This window comes from Homo sapiens, chromosome 7 (assembly GCF_000001405.40).
Source record: "Homo sapiens chromosome 7, GRCh38.p14 Primary Assembly".
NCBI classification, from domain to species: domain Eukaryota; kingdom Metazoa; phylum Chordata; class Mammalia; order Primates; family Hominidae; genus Homo; species Homo sapiens.
In genome coordinates, this window is record NC_000007.14 from 21,930,775 (window position 1) to 21,948,467 (window position 17,693).

Genomic DNA, 17,693 nt, shown 5'->3' on the forward strand with positions numbered 1-17,693 from the left:
ATAACTAAGATCACAGCAGAACTGAAGGAGACAGGGACATGAAAAACCCTTCAAAAAAATCAATGAATCCAGGAGTTGGTTTTTTGAAAAGATCAACAAAATAGACCGCTAGCCAGACAAAGAAGAAAAGAGAGAAGAATCAAATAGACACAATAAAAAATGATAAAGGGGGTATCACCACTGATCCAACAGAAATACAAACTACCATCAGAGAATACTATAAACAGCTCTACACAAATAAACTAGAAAATCTAGAAGAAATGGATAAATTTCTGGACACATACACCCTCCCAAGTCTAAACTAGGAAGAAGTCAAATTCCTGAAGACCAATAACAAGTTCTGAAATTGGGGCAGTAATTAATGGCCTGCCAACCAAAAGAGTCTAGGACCAGACAGATTTACAGCCAAATTCTACCAGAGGTACAAAGAGGAGCTGGTACCATTCCTTCTAAAACTATTCCAAACAACAGAAAAAGAGGGAATCCTCCCTAACTCATTTTATGAGACCAGCATCATCCTGATACCAAAACCTGGCAGAGACACAACAAAAAAAGAAAATTTCAGACCAGTATCCCTGATGAACGAAGATTTTCACATTGGCAATAAAATACTGGCAAACCAAATCCAGCAGCACATCAAAAAGCTTATCCACCAGGATCAAGTTGGCTTCATCCCTGGGATGCAAGGCTGGTTCAATATATGCAAATCAATAAACATAATCCATCACATAAACAGAACCAATGACAAAAACCACATGATTATCTCAATATATGCAGAAAAGGCCGTCAATAAAATTCAACACCGATTCCTGCTAAAAACTCTCAGTAAACGAGGTATTGATGGAACAGATCTCAAAATAATAACAGCTATTTATGACAAACCCACAGCCAATATCATACTGAATGGGCAAAAGCTGGAAGCATTCCCTTTGAAAACCAGCGCAAGACAAGGATGCTCTCTCTCACCACTCCTATTCAACATTCTGATTCTTCCTATCCGTGAGCATGGAATATTTTTCCATTTTCCATTGCCAGGGCAATCTGGCAAGAGAAAGAAATAAAAAGTATTCAAATAGGAAGAGAGGAAGTCCAACTGTCTCTGTTTGCAGATGACATGACTGTATATTTAGAAAATCCCATCGTCTCAGCCCCAAAACTCCTCAAGCTGATAAGCAACTTCAGCAAAGTCTCTGGATACAAAATTAATGTGCAAAAATCACAAGCATTCCTATATACCAATAATAGAGAGCAAAATCATGAGTGAACTCTCATTTACAATTGCTACAAAGAGAATAAAATACCTAGGAATACTACTTACAAGGGAAGTGAAGGATCTCTTTAAGGAAACTACAAACCACTGCTCAAGGAAGTAAGAGAGGAAACAAACAAATGGAAAAATATTCCATGCTCATGGATAGGAAGAATCAGTATCATGAAAATGGCCATACTGCCCAAAGTAATTTATAGATTCAATGCTATCCCCATCAAGATACCAATGACTTTCTTTACAGAATTACAAAAATCTACTTTAAATTTCATGTGGAACCAAAAATGAGCCTGTATAGCCAAGACAATCCTAAGCAAAAAGAACAAAGCTAGAGGCATCATGCTACCTGATTTCAATCTATACTACAAGGCTACAGTAACCAAAACAGCATGGTACTGGTACCAAAACAGATATACAGACCAATGGAACAGAACAGAGGCCTCAGAAATAACACCACACATCTACAGCCATCTGATCTTTGACAAATCTGACAAAAACAAGCAGTGGGGAAAGGATTCCCTATTTAATAAATGGTGCTGGGAAAACTGGCTAGCCATATGCAGAAAACTGAAACTGGACCCCTTCCTTGCACCTTGTACAAAAATTAACTGAATATGGATTAAAGACTTAAATGTAAAACCTAAAACCATAAACACCCTAGAAAAAAACCTAGGCAATACCATTCAGGACATAGGCAGGGGCAAGGACTTCATGACTAAAACACCAAAAGCAATGGCAACAAAAGCCAGAATTGACAAATGGGATCTAATTAAACTAAAGAGCTTCTGCACAGCAAAAGAAACTATCATCAGAGTGAACAGGCAACTTACAGAATGGAAGAAAATTTTTGTAATCTACCCATATGACAAAGGGCTAATATCCAGAATCTACAAGGAAATTAAACAAATTTATAAGAAAAAAAAAAAGAACAACTTCATCAAAAAGTGGGCGAAAGATATGATACTTCTCAAAAGAAGACATTTATACTGCCAACAAACATATGAAAAAAAGCTCATCATCACTGGTCATTAAAGAAATGCAAATCAAAACCACAATGAAATACCATCTCGTGCCAGTTAGAATGGCGAACATTAAAAAGTCAGGAAACAACAGATGCTGGAGGGGATGTGGAGAAATAGGAATGCTTTTACACTGTTGGTGGGAGTGTAAATTAGTTCAACCATTGCAGAAGACAGTGTGGCGATTCCTCAAGGATCTAGAACCAGAAATACCATTTGACCCAGCAATCCATTACTGGGTTTATACCCAAAGGATTATAAATCATTCTACTATAAAGACACATGCACATGTATGTTTATTGTGGCACTGTTCACGATAGCAAAGACTTGGAACCAACCCAAATGCCCATCAATGATAGACTGGATAAAGAAAATGTGGCACATATACACCATGGAATACTATGCAGCCATAAAAAAGGATGTGTTCATGTCCTTTGCAGGGACATGGATGAAGCAGGAAACCAGCTAAATTATCAGCAAACTAACACAAGAACAGAAAACCAAACACCACATATTCTTATTCATAGTTGGCAGGTGAACAATGAGAACACATGGACATGGGAAGAGGAACATCACACACTGGGGCCCGTCGGGGTTGGGGGACTAGAGGAGGGATATCATTAGGAGAAATAACTAATGTAGACGACGGGTTAATGGGTGCAGCAAACCACCATGGCACATGTATACCTATGTAACAAACCTGCACGTTCTGCACATGCATCCCAGAACTTAAAGTATAAAAAAAAGAAAAAAAAAGATTATCAGCCGTTTTATCACAGAAACCTTAAAGGTCAGAAAGCAGTAGGATGATTTATTTGTAACATATTTAAAATGTAGAAGGGAAAAAAACTATCAAACAAGAATTCTCCATCTGGTTAAAAAAAAAAAACTGCCCTTCAAAAATGAGATAAAAATTAAGACATTCCCAAATAAACAAAAGCCAAGGGAATTCATTACTACTGGCATTTGCAACAGAAAATGCTGAAAGGAGTACTTCACATTTACATGAAAGTCACTACACCGTAACTTTGTCAAAGCCATACAAAAATATAAGGTTCTCAGGTAAAGGTAAATACATGGACAAATATAAAAACTAGAGTATTATTGTAAATTTGGCTTATAACTCTACTTGTTATTTTCTAAAGGATTAAAAATACTTACGAATCTGTTCATGGATACACAACACATAAAGATGTAATTCCTGATCTCAATTACATAAAATGATGGAAAAAGAGCTATATAGGAGTAGAATTTTTGTATGTCGCTGAAGTGAAATTGGTATCATTCAAACCAGATTGCTATAACTTTAGAATGTTATATGTAATCTCCATGGTAACACAAAAACTATCTAAGAAGAAAAGGAAATGAAATGAGAAGAGAGTCAAAATGTGCCAATACTAAGCAATCAACTAAACTCAAAGGAAGGCAATAACAGAGGAAATGAGGGACAAAAAAGCCATAGGATATACAGAAAACCTATTTCTTAAATCACAAGATTAAGTAATTCCCCACCAGTAATTACTTTAAATTTAAATGTGTTAAACTCCAAATCAAAAGAAATTGACTGGCAGGAAGGATTTTTTCAAAATAGGATACAACTCTACACTATCTACAACAGACTCACTTTAGATCTAAAGACACCAATAGGTTAAAAGTAAAAGGACAGAAAAAGATACTCGATGCAAATAATAACCAAAAGAGAGATGGAGTGGCTATACTAATATGAGACAAAATAGTCAAAAACTGTTGTGAAAGACAAAGACATTACAGATTGATAAAAGAGCCAATTCACTAGAAGATAGAACAATTATAAATATATACACACACCAAACATCAAAGATCCCAAATATATGAAGCAAACACTGACAGAACTGAATGAAGAAATAGACTGTTCTGCAACAACAGATAGAAACTTCAACACCCCACTTTCAACAGTGAACAGAACAAGACAGAGCAATAAGGAAACAGAAGACTTGAGCAACATTATAAACCAACTAAAACTAATAGCACTCAACCCAACAACAGAATAAACACTTTTCTCAAGTACTTACAGAAAATTTTCCAGGACACACTATATGTTAGGCCACAAAACAAGTGTGAATATATTTTTAAATGACTGAAATAATACTATCCTTTGTTACAGTAGAGTGAAACTAGAAATCAGTAACAGAAGGAAAAATGAAAAATTCACAAATATGTGGAAATTAAATAACATATTCCTAAACAACCATGGGTCAAAGAAGACATCACAAGGGAAATTAGAAAATACTTTGAAACAAATGTAAATGAAAACAAAATTTACCAAAATATATGGGATGCAGCAAAAGGCACTGCTAAGAGGTAAATTTATAGCTGTAAACACAATAAAAATGAAGATCTCCAACCAAAAAACAAACCATACACATTAGGGGAACAGGAAATGTATAGCACACCAAACCCAAAGTTAGCAAGAGGAAGGAAACAAAGATTAAAACAGATATGAATAGAATAGATAATAGAATAAGAGAAAAATCAATGAAGCCAAAAGTTTATTCTTTGAAAAAAAAAATCAACAAATTGGCAAATCTTAAGCTACATGACTAGAAAATATACAGAGAAAACTCAAATTACTAACGTTAGTAATGAAATTGGACATTACTACCAATTTTACATAAATAAAAAGGACTGGCCAGGCGCTGTGGCTCACGCCTGTAATCCCAACACTTTGAGAGGCAGAGGTGGGTGGATCACAAGGTCAGGAGTTCAAGACCAGCCTGGCCAAGATGGTGAAACCCCATCTCTACTAAAAATGCAAAAAAATTAGCCAGGCTTGGTGGTGGGCGCCTGTAATCCCAGCTACTTGGGAGGCTGAAACAGAGAACTGCTTGAACCCAGGAGGCGGAGGTTGCAGTGAGCCGCTACTGTGCCACTACACTCCAGCCTGGGCGACAGAGCAAGACTCCGTCTCAAAATGAATAAATAAATAAATAAATAGGATTTTAAGAGTACTATAAACAACCGTATGCCAACAAATTGGATTATCTAGATATAATGGATAAATCCCGAGAAACAAACAACCTAGCTAGATTAAATTATGAAGAAACAGAAGATCTGAATATATTTGAAATAAGGATTTTAAGTAGTAATCAAAACCCTCCCAACAAAGTAAACCCCAGGACAAGATGGCTTCATGGGTAATTCTACCAAACATTTAAAGAAGAACAAACACCAGTCTTTCTCAAAGTCTTCCAAAAACTTGAAGAAGGAGGAACACTTGAAACTCATTCTATGTGACCAGCATTATCCTGATACCAAAGCCAGAGAAAGATACTAGAAAACTATACAGCCATATCTCTTACGAATACTGATACAAGAATACTCAACAAAATGCAGGTAAAACAAATTCGGCAGTGTAGCAAAAGGATTATACAAGATCACCAAGTGGCATTTATTCTAGGAATGCAAAATGGTTCAAACACATAAAAATCAATTAATGTAGTACACCCTATGAACAGAATAAAGGGGAAAAACAAAGATCATCTCAACTGATGCAGAAAAACATCTGACAAAATTCAACACCCTTCCCTCATCAGAAAAAAAAAAAATAGAAGGAAACTTAAACTCACCAACATAAGGCTATATACGAAAAACCCGCAACTAACAAGATACTCAATGATGAATGGAAGATTGAAAGCTTTTCCCCTAAGATCAGGAGCTAGACAAATATGCCTGCTTTTACCACTTCTATTCAACGCAGTATTGGGAGGTCTAGCCAGACCAATCAGGCAAGAAAAATAAATAACGCATCCAAATTGGAAAGGAAGAAGCAAAATTTATCTCTGCTATAAGAGACGTGATTATATATGTAGAGAACACTAGAGATTACACAAAAAGTAGTTAGAGCTAACAATTAGACATTGCAGGACACAAAATCAACACAAAAATCAACTATGCTTCTACACACTAACAATGAACAATTATGAAAATTAAGAAAACGATTCCATTTACAATGGCATCAGAATAATAAAGTACTTAGAAATAAGTTTAACCAAAAAGGCGAAAAAAGCCTTGTACACTGAAAACTACATCCCCGAAAAAATCAAGGAAGACAAGGAAATGGAGAACCATCCCATGTTCATGGATTGGAAGGCTTAATATAAGGTGACAATACTAACTGAAGCTATGTACAGACTCAATGTATTCCTTCTCAAACTCTCAGTGACTTCTTTCGTAAAAACAAAAGTCCATCCTAAAATTAATGTGGAATCTCAAAGGACCCTAAATAGCCAAAACAATCTTAAAAAAGAAGAACAGACCAGGCGCAGTGGCTCACACCTGAAATCCTAGCACTTTGGGAGGCTGAGGTGGGCAGACTGCCTGAACTCAGGAGTTTCAGACCACCCTGGGCAACATGGTGAAACCCCATCTCTACTAAAATACAAAAAAAAATTAGCCAGGCATGGCAGCATGTGCCTGTAGTCCCGGCTACTCGGGAGGCTGAGGCAGGAGAATTGCTTGAACCCAGGAGGCAGAGGTTACAGTGAGCCGAGATTGCACCACTGCACCCTAGCCTAGGTGACAGAACAAGACTCCATCCCTTAAAAAAGAAAAAAAAAAAAAAGAACAGTGTTAGAGGACTCACATTTCCTGACTTCAATACTTACTACAAAGCTATAGTAATCAAAACAGTGTGGTCTTGGCATAAAGGCAGACATATATATCAATGGAAATGAATAAAGAGCCCAGATACAAACCCTTGCATATACAGTTAACTAATTTTCAACAAGGATGCCAAGAATAATGGCAAAGAACAGTATTTTCAACAAACAGTGCTGGGAAAATTGGATTAGGTTGGACCCTTACCTTAAGCCATCTATAAAAACTAACTCAAGATGGATCAAAGATCTAAATATAAGAGCTAAAACTATAAAACTCATGGAAGAAAATACAGGGGAAAAGTTTCATGACACTGAATTTGGCAATAATTTCTTGGATATGGCAACAAAAGAAAAATAAATAAACTAGACCTCAAAATTAAAAACTTTTGTGCAAAGGGCGCTATCAAGACAGTGAAAAGGCAACCTATATAGAATGAGAGAAAATATTTGCAAATAATATCTAATAAGGGATTAATATCCAAGATATATAAATAACTCACTTAACAACTACAAAAACCCAGTTAAGAAATGGGCAAAGGACTTGAATTAACATTTCTTCAAAGAAGAGGTACAGGTGACCAACGGGCACAAGAAAAAAATTCTTAACATCACTAATCATTGGGGAAATGCAAAACAAAACCACGATGAGATACCACTTTATGCACATTAGAATGGCCATTAAAAAAAAATCCAGGAAAGAACTAGGGCTGGCAAAGACGTGAAGAAATTGGAACACTCGTGCACTGCTTATGATGATATAAAATGACACAGCCACTGTGCCAAACAGTATAGTGGTTTCTGAAAAAATTGAATTTAGTATTATCATATAACCCAGCAATTCTACTTTTAGGAACACACACCCAGAACAACTGAAAGCAGGGACTGAAGCAGATATTTGTATGCCAATGTTTATTCATTGGTATTTACAATAGCCAAAAGGTGGAAACAACCGACAACATAAATAGATGAGTAAATAAAGATGGTATGTACACATAAGAGTATTATTCAGACTTTAAAAGAAATGACGTCAGGCACAGTGTCTTATGCCTCTAATCCCAGCACTTTGGGAGGCCAAGACAGGAGGATTGCTTGAGCCCAGGAGTTCAAGACCAACCTGGGCAACACAGAGACTCCATCTCTACCAGAAATTTTAAAAAGAAAAATTAGCCAAGCAGGGTAGTACATACCTATAGTCCCAGCTACTCAAGAGGTTGCAGTGGGAGGATCACTTGAGCCCAGGAGGTCAAGGCGCAGTGAGCCACGATAGCACCACTGCACTCCAGCCTGGGCAACAGAGTGAGACCCTGTCTCAAAAGAGAAATAATTGAAAAAAAATTCTGATACATACTATAACATGGATAAACTTTAATAACAATGTTAAGTGAAATGAGCCAGTGACAAAAGGACAAATACCATATGATTCCACTCATATGAGATACCTAGGATAGTCATATCCTCAGAGACAGAAACTAAAACAGAAGTAACCAGGGGCTGGAGGAAGAGGTCATAGGGGTAATTGTTTAGTAGGTAGAGAGTTTCAGTTTAAAATGATGAAAAAGCTCATGAGAGATCAGTGATGGCGGCACAACATTGTGACTATACTTAGTAACACTGAAAGGTTAAAAATAGTACCTTTTATTATGTATATCTTACCACAATAAAAAGCCCCACAGGGTAGTCAATGTTATGTTTAAAAGAGAAGAAATAAATGGGAAGTCATTTTAGATATGTATTTACACAGGTCTTAGAAGAGCTATTCAGCAGATGAGTACCTAATGAACTGGAATTTTGGCAGAGATCCTGGGAGTGAAGTGAACCAAATCACTTGGGAAGTGTGAAGTAATTTCCTCCTCCAGGGAGGTCAGCAGATAGAACATGTGAAGCCAATGTTAAGATTTCTCTGGAGTCTAAAAGATTATCAAATTGGACAAGTCTGTTCTCAGTGTTTTCCAACAAGGTGCAACTGACGTTTTGGACAGAACAACTGCTTCATCCTGTAGGACTCTCCTGCCTGCCACATGGTACTTAATACCCCTGAACTCCAAACCACTTACCAGGGGCATTCCCCTCACCCTCATCACTCTAACAATCAAAAAGAAACCCACCCACGTTTGTTACCACGACTACCATGACCCCAGATCACTCAGATGACAACCACAGAGTGATTGAATCCAAAACTGAAATAGGAGCACCCTGGTCTGTTAGGATATGACAAGCTATAAAGCAGTAGCAAACAACCCTAAATCTCAATCAATAGCTTCAAACCAAAAAAAAAAAAAAAAAAAAAGGCTTCCGTCTTGTTCACATTACATGTCCATCACAGGCCAGCCCAAGGCTCTATTCCACACTGTCCTCACACCAGAACCTGGGCTGATAGAGCTACCACTCTGCAGAATGCTGACAGATGCAGTGGCAGAGGGAATGAGATACAGTAAGTGGTATGCTGGCATTTAAATAATTCACTTAGAAGTGACATATAGTACTTCTCATATTCCACTGGCCAAAGCAAGTCAAATAGCCTTGACTGTTTCAGGGCCAGGAAAGTGCAACCCTACACCACTTACCTGGAAGGAAAAGAACCAGCCCTGATGACTTCCAAACTATGCCTGCGAAGTGCTCTGAAAAGTAGAAAACGCTATATAAATGTTAATTAAAAGAGTATATTACTAACAATACTACTTTGCCCTTCCATCCATTCAATGGATATTTATTAGGCATCTAATACATGCTGGACATCGTCTCCTAAGCATCAAATATATGCCAGACACCATGCTAAGAGAGCTGATGAAAACTGAGTCGTAAGTGGTAGGGTAAGAGAAACAATCTTTAAACAATTCCAGTGTGGTATGATAAATGTGATCAGGGAAGTCAGCCCAGGTACTCCAGAAGTTCCCAGGGCGAGCACCTGAGCCAGCGGTGGGGGCAATGGATGGGAAGACTTCCAGGAGCAGTAACCTACATAGCTGCAGGATGCAGTCACCCTGGAGAACCTGCTGTAGATGCACAGGTGGAAGCATGAATGTGGGCGCTGTGGATGGGGTGTCCCTGCCTTCCGCCAAGTCAATGAGACCAACTTGCCACAAATTCCCCATAGCCCTAATCTGCAGTCACTTCCACTAAATGTCCACTGACACATTTATAGGTTTTCTTGGTTTTCTAGGCAGACCGGATGTAAAGAACAGATTTCTGGGACTACTCTCCACTTTCCCCCCAACTAGAACATTCTATGAGATGCTCTAAGTTCAAGGAGACAACATTCTTTCAGTCCAGTTATCATAAGCTTGGTTCTAACCTCAGCAAAAACTGCTTTCTTTCAGCTAATATAGCGCAACAAAAGGGGAAATGCCCTAGGAAAACAATGTGTCAGAGGCTCCTAACCATTGAAAATCAGGCACATTCCCTTTATGAGATATTAAATACATTATAAAGAGTTATTAAAAATAGTGCAGACTCCAACACAAGCCGTAAGATATACAGTATACCACCCTGAGATATTTATTTCCTCTAATAAAGAAAAAAATATTTTTTCAACAGAAAATACATAAAATACACATCTAGAAACACTAGACAGTCACTAAAAATGAAAACTGTAAAGATCTCTACGCTACTAGGAAAAGTAATGCTGATAGTGCTAAGGAAAGCAGATTCCAACAGCAATCATACTGTAAAGGTTAGACAAAGATGACGACTGTGCTACAGGCAAACACTTCATGGAAACTGCAGAAAATGGGGCACGGAGAGTAGGGGAAGCAGAGAAGTGGTTCAGTGCAGCTTACGGTAACATGTTATTGTTTGTACAATGCAAATTTCACATAAAAGTCATTCCTATGTAAAAGCTTGGTGGATCTTATTCACATTCCCAAACTGACTTTTACAGGCAGTATAAAGCATAATCTGGTGAGTTCCTAAAAAAGAACCAGACTAGCTGCTGTTAACACTCCAGCCCTTCTAGTTAAAGGGAGGAGGGAACAGGGCAAGTTTCCTGACTCACCAAGGCCCGGTGATTCCAGCAGCAAGGGCCAATTCCTTACAAATTGCCCTGAGCAAATTAGTCAATTTAGCCTTATCTTTAAAAGGCAGATAACACAACCTACTTCACAGAACTACAGTGGGGATTAAATCTGATAACTTTTAAGTACTTAGCACAGCATGACTTTTAAAAGGAAGTGATAGTTTCCATTCCTTGGGGGCAAAAAAGGATGGCTCTTAAGGTCTCCCTCTACTCTCCAAACCCAAGGTCCCCCAGGTCCCCATAGCACAGAGCAGGAGCCAGCTGAGCTCTGGCAAAAGCAGAAGAGGAAGGGAGTTCAAGCATGGCCTTCTGGTAGAGAGTGTGGGGAAAGAGGCGTGTTTTCTGTGTCTTTGTTCTTCCACCCTACCAATGCCTAGCACATAACCGGTGCTCAACTGACTATCTGATCAGTGTACTAACCCAGTCAGCAAGCCCTCTATCCTCAGCTGATGATCATGAAGGAAAACAGGCAGGAAACATCAACGATTTATTTGAACTAAAGCTCAGGCCCCTTGCACTGTGAGACTCCACACTTTATTTCTGTGCTGCATGCAGGGTGCTAGCATTTACTACTATGGAAGATACATTTTTCTGAGTGTTAACTTCAGTGGTATTTACCAAATATGCCTCTGAATGGTCCTATTTCAAAAAAACTACAGAAAGCACTGCTTTTCATAAACAAAAAGAACAAAATGGCCCCAGTAGTATTTTCTTATCTCTATCCCTACCTACTTTAAGTAGCCTGTAATCTATTCCATTTTGGTGAATAAAGCCGAGTCTTTTCTAAAACAAAACTGTATACTGGAGGTAAATATTCTAAAACATAACTTTGAGTAAAGGAAAACTCTCAAGAGCAGTTTAAATGTAATGCCTGGCTTATTCTATTCCAATGATGTTCTAATCTTTTTCATTAATTTACTCTAATGTTTGTAATTGTTTTAGGCCACAATTATCTCATTGTTTCCTGGCCTGTGTACCTGATCAGAATCATTATGATCTCTGAGGTTTTCGCCTGATTTTTGAGAATCCTGCTCTGCTATGGATGGGGTAGCCAGCAGAACACAGAACAACCAAGGAGCGTTTTAAATACAAGACTATTAGAGTGGCAAATCATTGTCCTTTCTGTGACCAGCTTCTGGGGCTCTGGAATTACATGTTAAACAACAGGATCAGATGGGAGCACTTTGCAGCTAAGAGACCAATACCAGAAAAATACCCCTTTACCCCTTCAACAGCGTGCTCCTGCCTATTTACAAGAACATTTAGCATCATTTCCTTCTCAAATGGGCCATCCTGTACTCTGGAGCTAGAACAGAGTACGAGGAGAACACTGACATTCAGTGCCTACCAGTTTCTCTCCTACGGAGCTGCAGCAAGCTGGAGCTCCCATGAGCTGCACTGTTGACAGCTCTTAGTCAGGGATCACACCCTTGCCTTTACGAGCTATTTCTGTCATTTTATATAAAAGCACAAAGACACAGTGGTCAGCACGACAAGACTACAGCCTGGGGGAAGCGTAATCACTGTCAGAGGACATCAAATCCAACACACTGGTGGGATGGCAGGAAAGCAGACTCGAAAGTAGTTCAGAGTAAATGAGTCTCCTTGTTTGCTTCTTACTCATAACATTAGGCCTAAGCTGCTTTGCTGAAACACTTAGCTCTGCGCTTTCCAAGCGATAGAAATTATACTTACTCCAATGTGTGAGATGAAAACCCACTGCACACTGAGCTGAGCGACATTTGATGTGCAGTAATGCCACTTCAGGTGGTTCATCACATTGCTTTATTCATAAGGCTGGGGGACAGGGTGGAACCACACGAATTTAACATCTTGCTGTGCCTGAAATGTTCATTAAGTGTTCTTATCCGCAGTCACCTGCCCACCCCACAGAACCACTCTCCACTAATTTAGAGACTATAATCTGTGCACATTTAAATTACGATGAACAGGAACATTTCCACTGGAAAAACCATCACACATCTTTGATTTGCACTGCCAATTAGGTCTTCAGAAAAGGAAAAAAAAAAAAACCCTGATCATCTTACATATAGTAATTTGCCTTAATTGGTGCATAATGGATCGGATATAATTTGTGGGTAACCCCTACATGATAAATAGTTTATTTAACATTTTAGAACTACCAAAAATTAGCCTCATTGTGTGGCAGTAAACGCTCACTTCCAACTACACATTCTGGGACTTCTGAGTTTCCTAAGCATGAATTATGAATATCAGTAGTGGAAGTGCAAAGAACTCTCCAGCTTAACAACAGGAGTGACACATTCCAGAAACATTTTCTGATTACATTCACAAGGAGCTCCGGAGTGATAAATTCCAGATACATTTTCTGACTAAACTCACAAGGAGCTCAAATCTCCATCCAGAGGGTTTGTTTTTTGTTTTTAGTCCTGTAGCAACAGAAACTCCTAGAAGGTTAGGACGCCAGCCGGAAGTGGTGGCTCACGCCTGTAATCCCAGCACTTTGGGAGGCCGAGGCAGGTGGATCACCTGAGGTCAGCAGTTCAAGACCAGACTGGACAACATTGTGAAACCCTGTCTCTACTAAAAAAAAAAAAAAAATACAAAAAATTAGACAGGCGTGGTGGCGGGCGCCTGTAATCCCAGCTACTCGGGACGCTGAGGCAGGAAAATTGCTTGAACCCGGGAGGCGAAGGTTGCAGTGAGCCGAGGTCGCGCCATTACACTCCACCCCGGACAAGAGCGAAACTCCGTCTCCAAAAAAAAAAAAAAAAAAAAAAGGATGCTAATACACGGTAAAAGCCAGTGGCAAAAAATAAAAAATCGAACCCTGTCTCATTCCGTAGGCTTTACTGTTTCCCTTGCTTTTAATAGTTTATCTCACAGGAGGCATTTTAAAAATATTCTCAGAAACATCAACAACAGATTTTTCTCAAGCGACCATTTTCAGGAAGGCTTCAGAAATTACTAAAAGGCCAAAGCTACCGTTAGTGGCTCAGTCTTTGCCGCCAGACTCGGGCAGGTGACAGCGGTTTGGGCTCGGGCGCCGGGCACTCTGCGCCTTCCAACGCTGGCGGCCCCGCCTCCCCTTCTCCCGGGCCAGGCACGCAGGTGGAGGAAAGTAAACACCAGTCGGAAGCAAGGTGGAAGCAGTGAGTCTCGCGACTCTCAATAAAACAAGTGGAAAAAAAAAAAAAAACAATCCTCGCACAAAGCATCTCCGTGCTCCCACAAGCAGAGGCGTGGCTGCTTGTTTCCCTTTTTAAAGGTTGTATTTTTAGTTCTTATGAAAAATGTTTTTATTGCTTACTTCTAAGTAAACATGTATCTCCATTACGATAACGTAGAGAAAAGCTCTTTTAAGAAGTAAAAAGAGAAAACTGAAGTCACGTTCACATTCCCACTACTCACTGAAACGTTTGGGGGAACTTACTCAAGTGTTTGCTAATGAGTTTTAAAGACGAGTTAGGCCCTTAACGCGTAATTGGGGTCGTGCTGTGCATATGATTTGGGATCTTGCAGCTTGTTTAACTCGGCCCAATGACGTTACCATTTCCCCCAAATGGTTACTAATTCCTTGAAAACGTTTACAAAAGTTCTAGAATAAACACTAAAGTTATTATTTTTAAACTCCATTATCCAAGTTGGACTGGTCTGGCGATCGACTGTTAAAAAAAAAAAATTACAACTTTCTTAAGCTTCCTGATCTCTGTGCCAATTCCCGGAGAAAGTGTGGGGAGTGCACAAAAAAAGCCCCTCCCCCGTCTCACGAGGGCTGCAAACGCAGGCGCTGCGCCCCGCTAGCTCCCCGCCTGCACCCCCGGCGGCCACCCGAGACTGAGCAGAGCGCCAGGCTGAGCGCGGTTGTGTGCTGGGGCGACCGGCCTCTGTGGTCCGCGTAGCACAAACGTGACCCACTGCGCACACCTGCAGGGCGCGCCCACTCCGGCACTCAACCGGCTGGGCGCGCCAGATCCCCAGTGCCGCAGCCAAGGGCCACGTTTCCAGCCCAAGGCCAGCAGGACCGGGTGGCAAAGGGAAGTCAAACTGTGGGTGCGTCCGGACGGCGGCGGGCGGCCGGACCCTCACCTGGTAGCGAGTCGCCAACTCCATTCTTCCTAACCGGGCTCCAGTCTCCTCCCAGCACGCGGCCACGGGAGCCCGGACTCACCACGGCCCGGCGCACCAAGAACGCCCCGCGCCCGAGCAGCTAGCGCGCTCCGCCCGGAGCACAGGCGGGCCCCGGGAGGGGCGCACTTGACGCCCTGGACAGGGGGAGCGCGTTGCGCTGCCCCCTCGGTGCCGCCTCACTGGGCCTCGTGGCTCCGATCACGTTCCAACTTCGCGGCCACTGACCTTGTCTTCGCAGGCGGCGCGAGAGGGGGCTGCAGTTGGGCGCGGCAAGAGCAATTACCAGTGTTAGGGCGCCGGGCTCCCCCCTGCAGCAGAGGGAGGGAGTGGAGCCGTCCGGCGGGGTTTAGCGCGGGAGAAATGAGGGGGCTGTCCCGGCGCAGCCTCCAGCTGGCACGCGCGCTGGATACTTGGCAGGGTTTATTCCAGGTCATGCCCTGGGGCGCGAGCTTCTGCTGCAACCCCTGTCTCTGATCCAGGCAAATATTGTAGGGCGGCTTTGGGGCTTGTTTTGTTTTGTTGTTGTAACGGGGCAGGGTTCTCTTTGGGAAGATTCTGTCTCCCAAAACATTTGCTACAGGGTTCACTTTGCAGAACAGGCAACCCAGGTTTCTTTACCAAGGCCCAGGTGGACAGATGCAAACCCGCCTGAAACTTTAGACGGCCATTACACAGTAGGCCTCCACACCCACCAGACAAAGAGTTTGTAGAGGTCAGGAATGCTGACTAATTTAACAGAATTGACCCCGGCATCTACTAAGCATCAGGCACTGGGCTAGTCCTAGGAACAGAAGGGTGAACAAAAACAGGCCCCTGCTCTGTTGGAGTTTACAGCCTGAGAGCCAGTTACCAACCTAATTGCATTATTCTAAATAAATACAATAATGATGCAAATAAGTGTAATAACGATGTAAATTTTATAAATTAGATTTATAATTAATATTAATTTGATACCACTATCAATGACAAATGTAATGATGATGCAAATAAATGTAAATTTGGAGCGATGATGCCATGAGAAAAAAGGCAAGTGGTATTAATGGTGGTGTGAAATAGGAAGACAATCTGATAGAGGTCAGGGAATACTTCTTAGAGTTCAGATATGAAGAGTGAGGAATTAAGTTTGTGGAAATTGTGGGAGAGTTGAAGTAGAGAGTGGGGAGAATGGTAAATGAAGTTGTCCTGAAATCACAGCAGGTTTGCTGGACAGTGTTGCACACCTATTTAGAACCGTGGTCATAGGTTTACAGTAGAGCATCCTGTACGCATAGGACCTTCTGCAGCCCCTCTCAGCTGCTTAGGATCTGACGTTCATCTTTTCTTTATTGAACGAGTGAATGAAATTTGCCAAACATTTACTCAAGCTTGAAGAGAAAACATGGAAAAGGTTTCCTTCCTTCCTTTGGTTAGTTCAGCAAACAACATGTGTTATGTGCTTTCATGTTCCAGCCCTCAGTGTTCTCACTTCCTGGTGGTAGTAAAACCAATACAACATTGTGTGACTTAAAATGTTTTGTTTTTATTGGATAATGTTATTTATTCATTATGGCCACTTCATTTTTATTATGCTTTAGAGTTTTCCTTCACATGCAGTATCTCCTTGAATCCTCTCAATATCCTTCCAGATCCTTATTGTCCACATTTTTAAAATAAGGAAACAGAATCTAAGAAAATACATTAAGAGATCCCTGCCACCCTGCCACTAAGTGACAGCAGCAGACTGCCAAACTGAAAACCATTCCTTATGCCTCCAGATCCAACATTCTTTCCATTTTTCTGTATTTTTTCCCTTTGGCTGCCAGGAAGCTTAGAGTGAAAATTAATTCAATCAGAGCTCTTCTTCCTCTTTTTTTTTTTTTAGATAGTTGCTTCCTCATGAACTGCTGATCTTGTTTGCACTTCTTTTCATTGTAGGTTAAATCAAATCAATTTTGGAAAAGGGAGCACAAATTTGAAGCAGGTCAGATTTTGCAAAACACTTGAAGCAGCCTAGACTAGCTACTTCTGTATCAGGAAACCTGTAAGCTGTTGAACCTTTCTGTTTAGAAATTTGCCATAACTAACCCTAAGTCTTCAGATGACAACCCCTAAATTTTCTTCCTGTGCTTAGCAAAGCCTGTACACGTTTGATGGTATTTAGTAATTGATTATATAGTGGTGTGTTTTGTTTTGTTTTGTTTTGTTTTGTTTTGGTCAGGCTTTGGGAAAATCTCTAAGGAACCAGAGGATTTAAACATGGCACTGCAGTAATACTTTCTAATAATTATTACTGATAGGGTTCACGGGATGTGAGCACTGGGTTTCATCATGGCACTGCAAGAATGAGTGTCCCTTCCAGATGCAACAGTATACATATTGCAACACAGAAAAAGAAGACATAATGTTTGCAACTTCTTTTAAGAAGTCTGTCTAGAAATCCATGCTTGATTGCTTTTTAAATGTTTCCATGAGAGAGTAAAAACTTGGTCCCCAGTACCTTGAACAAGGTAAGAAATTTGTGATTAGAAGCCAAAGGAGTTAATAATGCCACACTAAAATATGCTGCTCTGGCATATTCACTATTTTTAGTTAAAAGCACTTAAAAAAAAAAAAAGCAGGTAGGAGAAGATCACTCTGAACTTAATGTTGTTTCTTAAAAGCAGGAG

General features: G+C 40.4%; 1 protein-coding gene across 3 annotated transcripts in view, besides 5 other annotated features; it reads right to left on the bottom strand.

The window, feature by feature from the left end:
* CDCA7L (cell division cycle associated 7 like) overlaps nucleotides 1-15,125 on the bottom strand; it is a 45,001-nt gene extending 29,876 nt beyond the window's left edge. For 2 of the 3 annotated variants that reach the window (NM_001127371.3, NM_018719.5), the window contains exon 1: nucleotides 15,007-15,125. In NM_001127371.3, the coding sequence (NP_001120843.1) occupies nucleotides 15,007-15,030 (24 nt within the window). In that variant the 5' untranslated portion in view covers nucleotides 15,031-15,125. Of the gene's footprint in view, nucleotides 1-9,487; nucleotides 9,542-15,006 lie in introns of all 3 variants that reach the window. The other variant, NM_001127370.3, reaches the window with a different exon arrangement.
* Nucleotides 10,800-11,420: an enhancer, noted in NCBI's record as "NANOG hESC enhancer chr7:21981192-21981812 (GRCh37/hg19 assembly coordinates)". NCBI's record gives its function as "activates a minimal SCP1, AML or CMV promoter by ChIP-STARR-seq in naive H9 embryonic stem cells {active_cell/tissue: H9 hESC(naive)}" and the evidence as "EXISTENCE:reporter gene assay evidence [ECO:0000049][PMID:30033119]".
* Nucleotides 14,744-14,793: a silencer, noted in NCBI's record as "silent region_17998". NCBI's record gives its function as "represses an Ori minimal core promoter by ATAC-STARR-seq in GM12878 lymphoblastoid cells {active_cell/tissue: GM12878}" and the evidence as "EXISTENCE:reporter gene assay evidence [ECO:0000049][PMID:35858748]".
* Nucleotides 14,934-15,083: an enhancer, noted in NCBI's record as "active region_25702". NCBI's record gives its function as "activates an Ori minimal core promoter by ATAC-STARR-seq in GM12878 lymphoblastoid cells {active_cell/tissue: GM12878}" and the evidence as "EXISTENCE:reporter gene assay evidence [ECO:0000049][PMID:35858748]".
* Nucleotides 15,079-15,789: an enhancer, noted in NCBI's record as "H3K27ac-H3K4me1 hESC enhancer chr7:21985471-21986181 (GRCh37/hg19 assembly coordinates)". NCBI's record gives its function as "activates a minimal SCP1, AML or CMV promoter by ChIP-STARR-seq in naive H9 embryonic stem cells {active_cell/tissue: H9 hESC(naive)}" and the evidence as "EXISTENCE:reporter gene assay evidence [ECO:0000049][PMID:30033119]".
* Nucleotides 15,474-15,723: an enhancer, noted in NCBI's record as "active region_25703". NCBI's record gives its function as "activates an Ori minimal core promoter by ATAC-STARR-seq in GM12878 lymphoblastoid cells {active_cell/tissue: GM12878}" and the evidence as "EXISTENCE:reporter gene assay evidence [ECO:0000049][PMID:35858748]".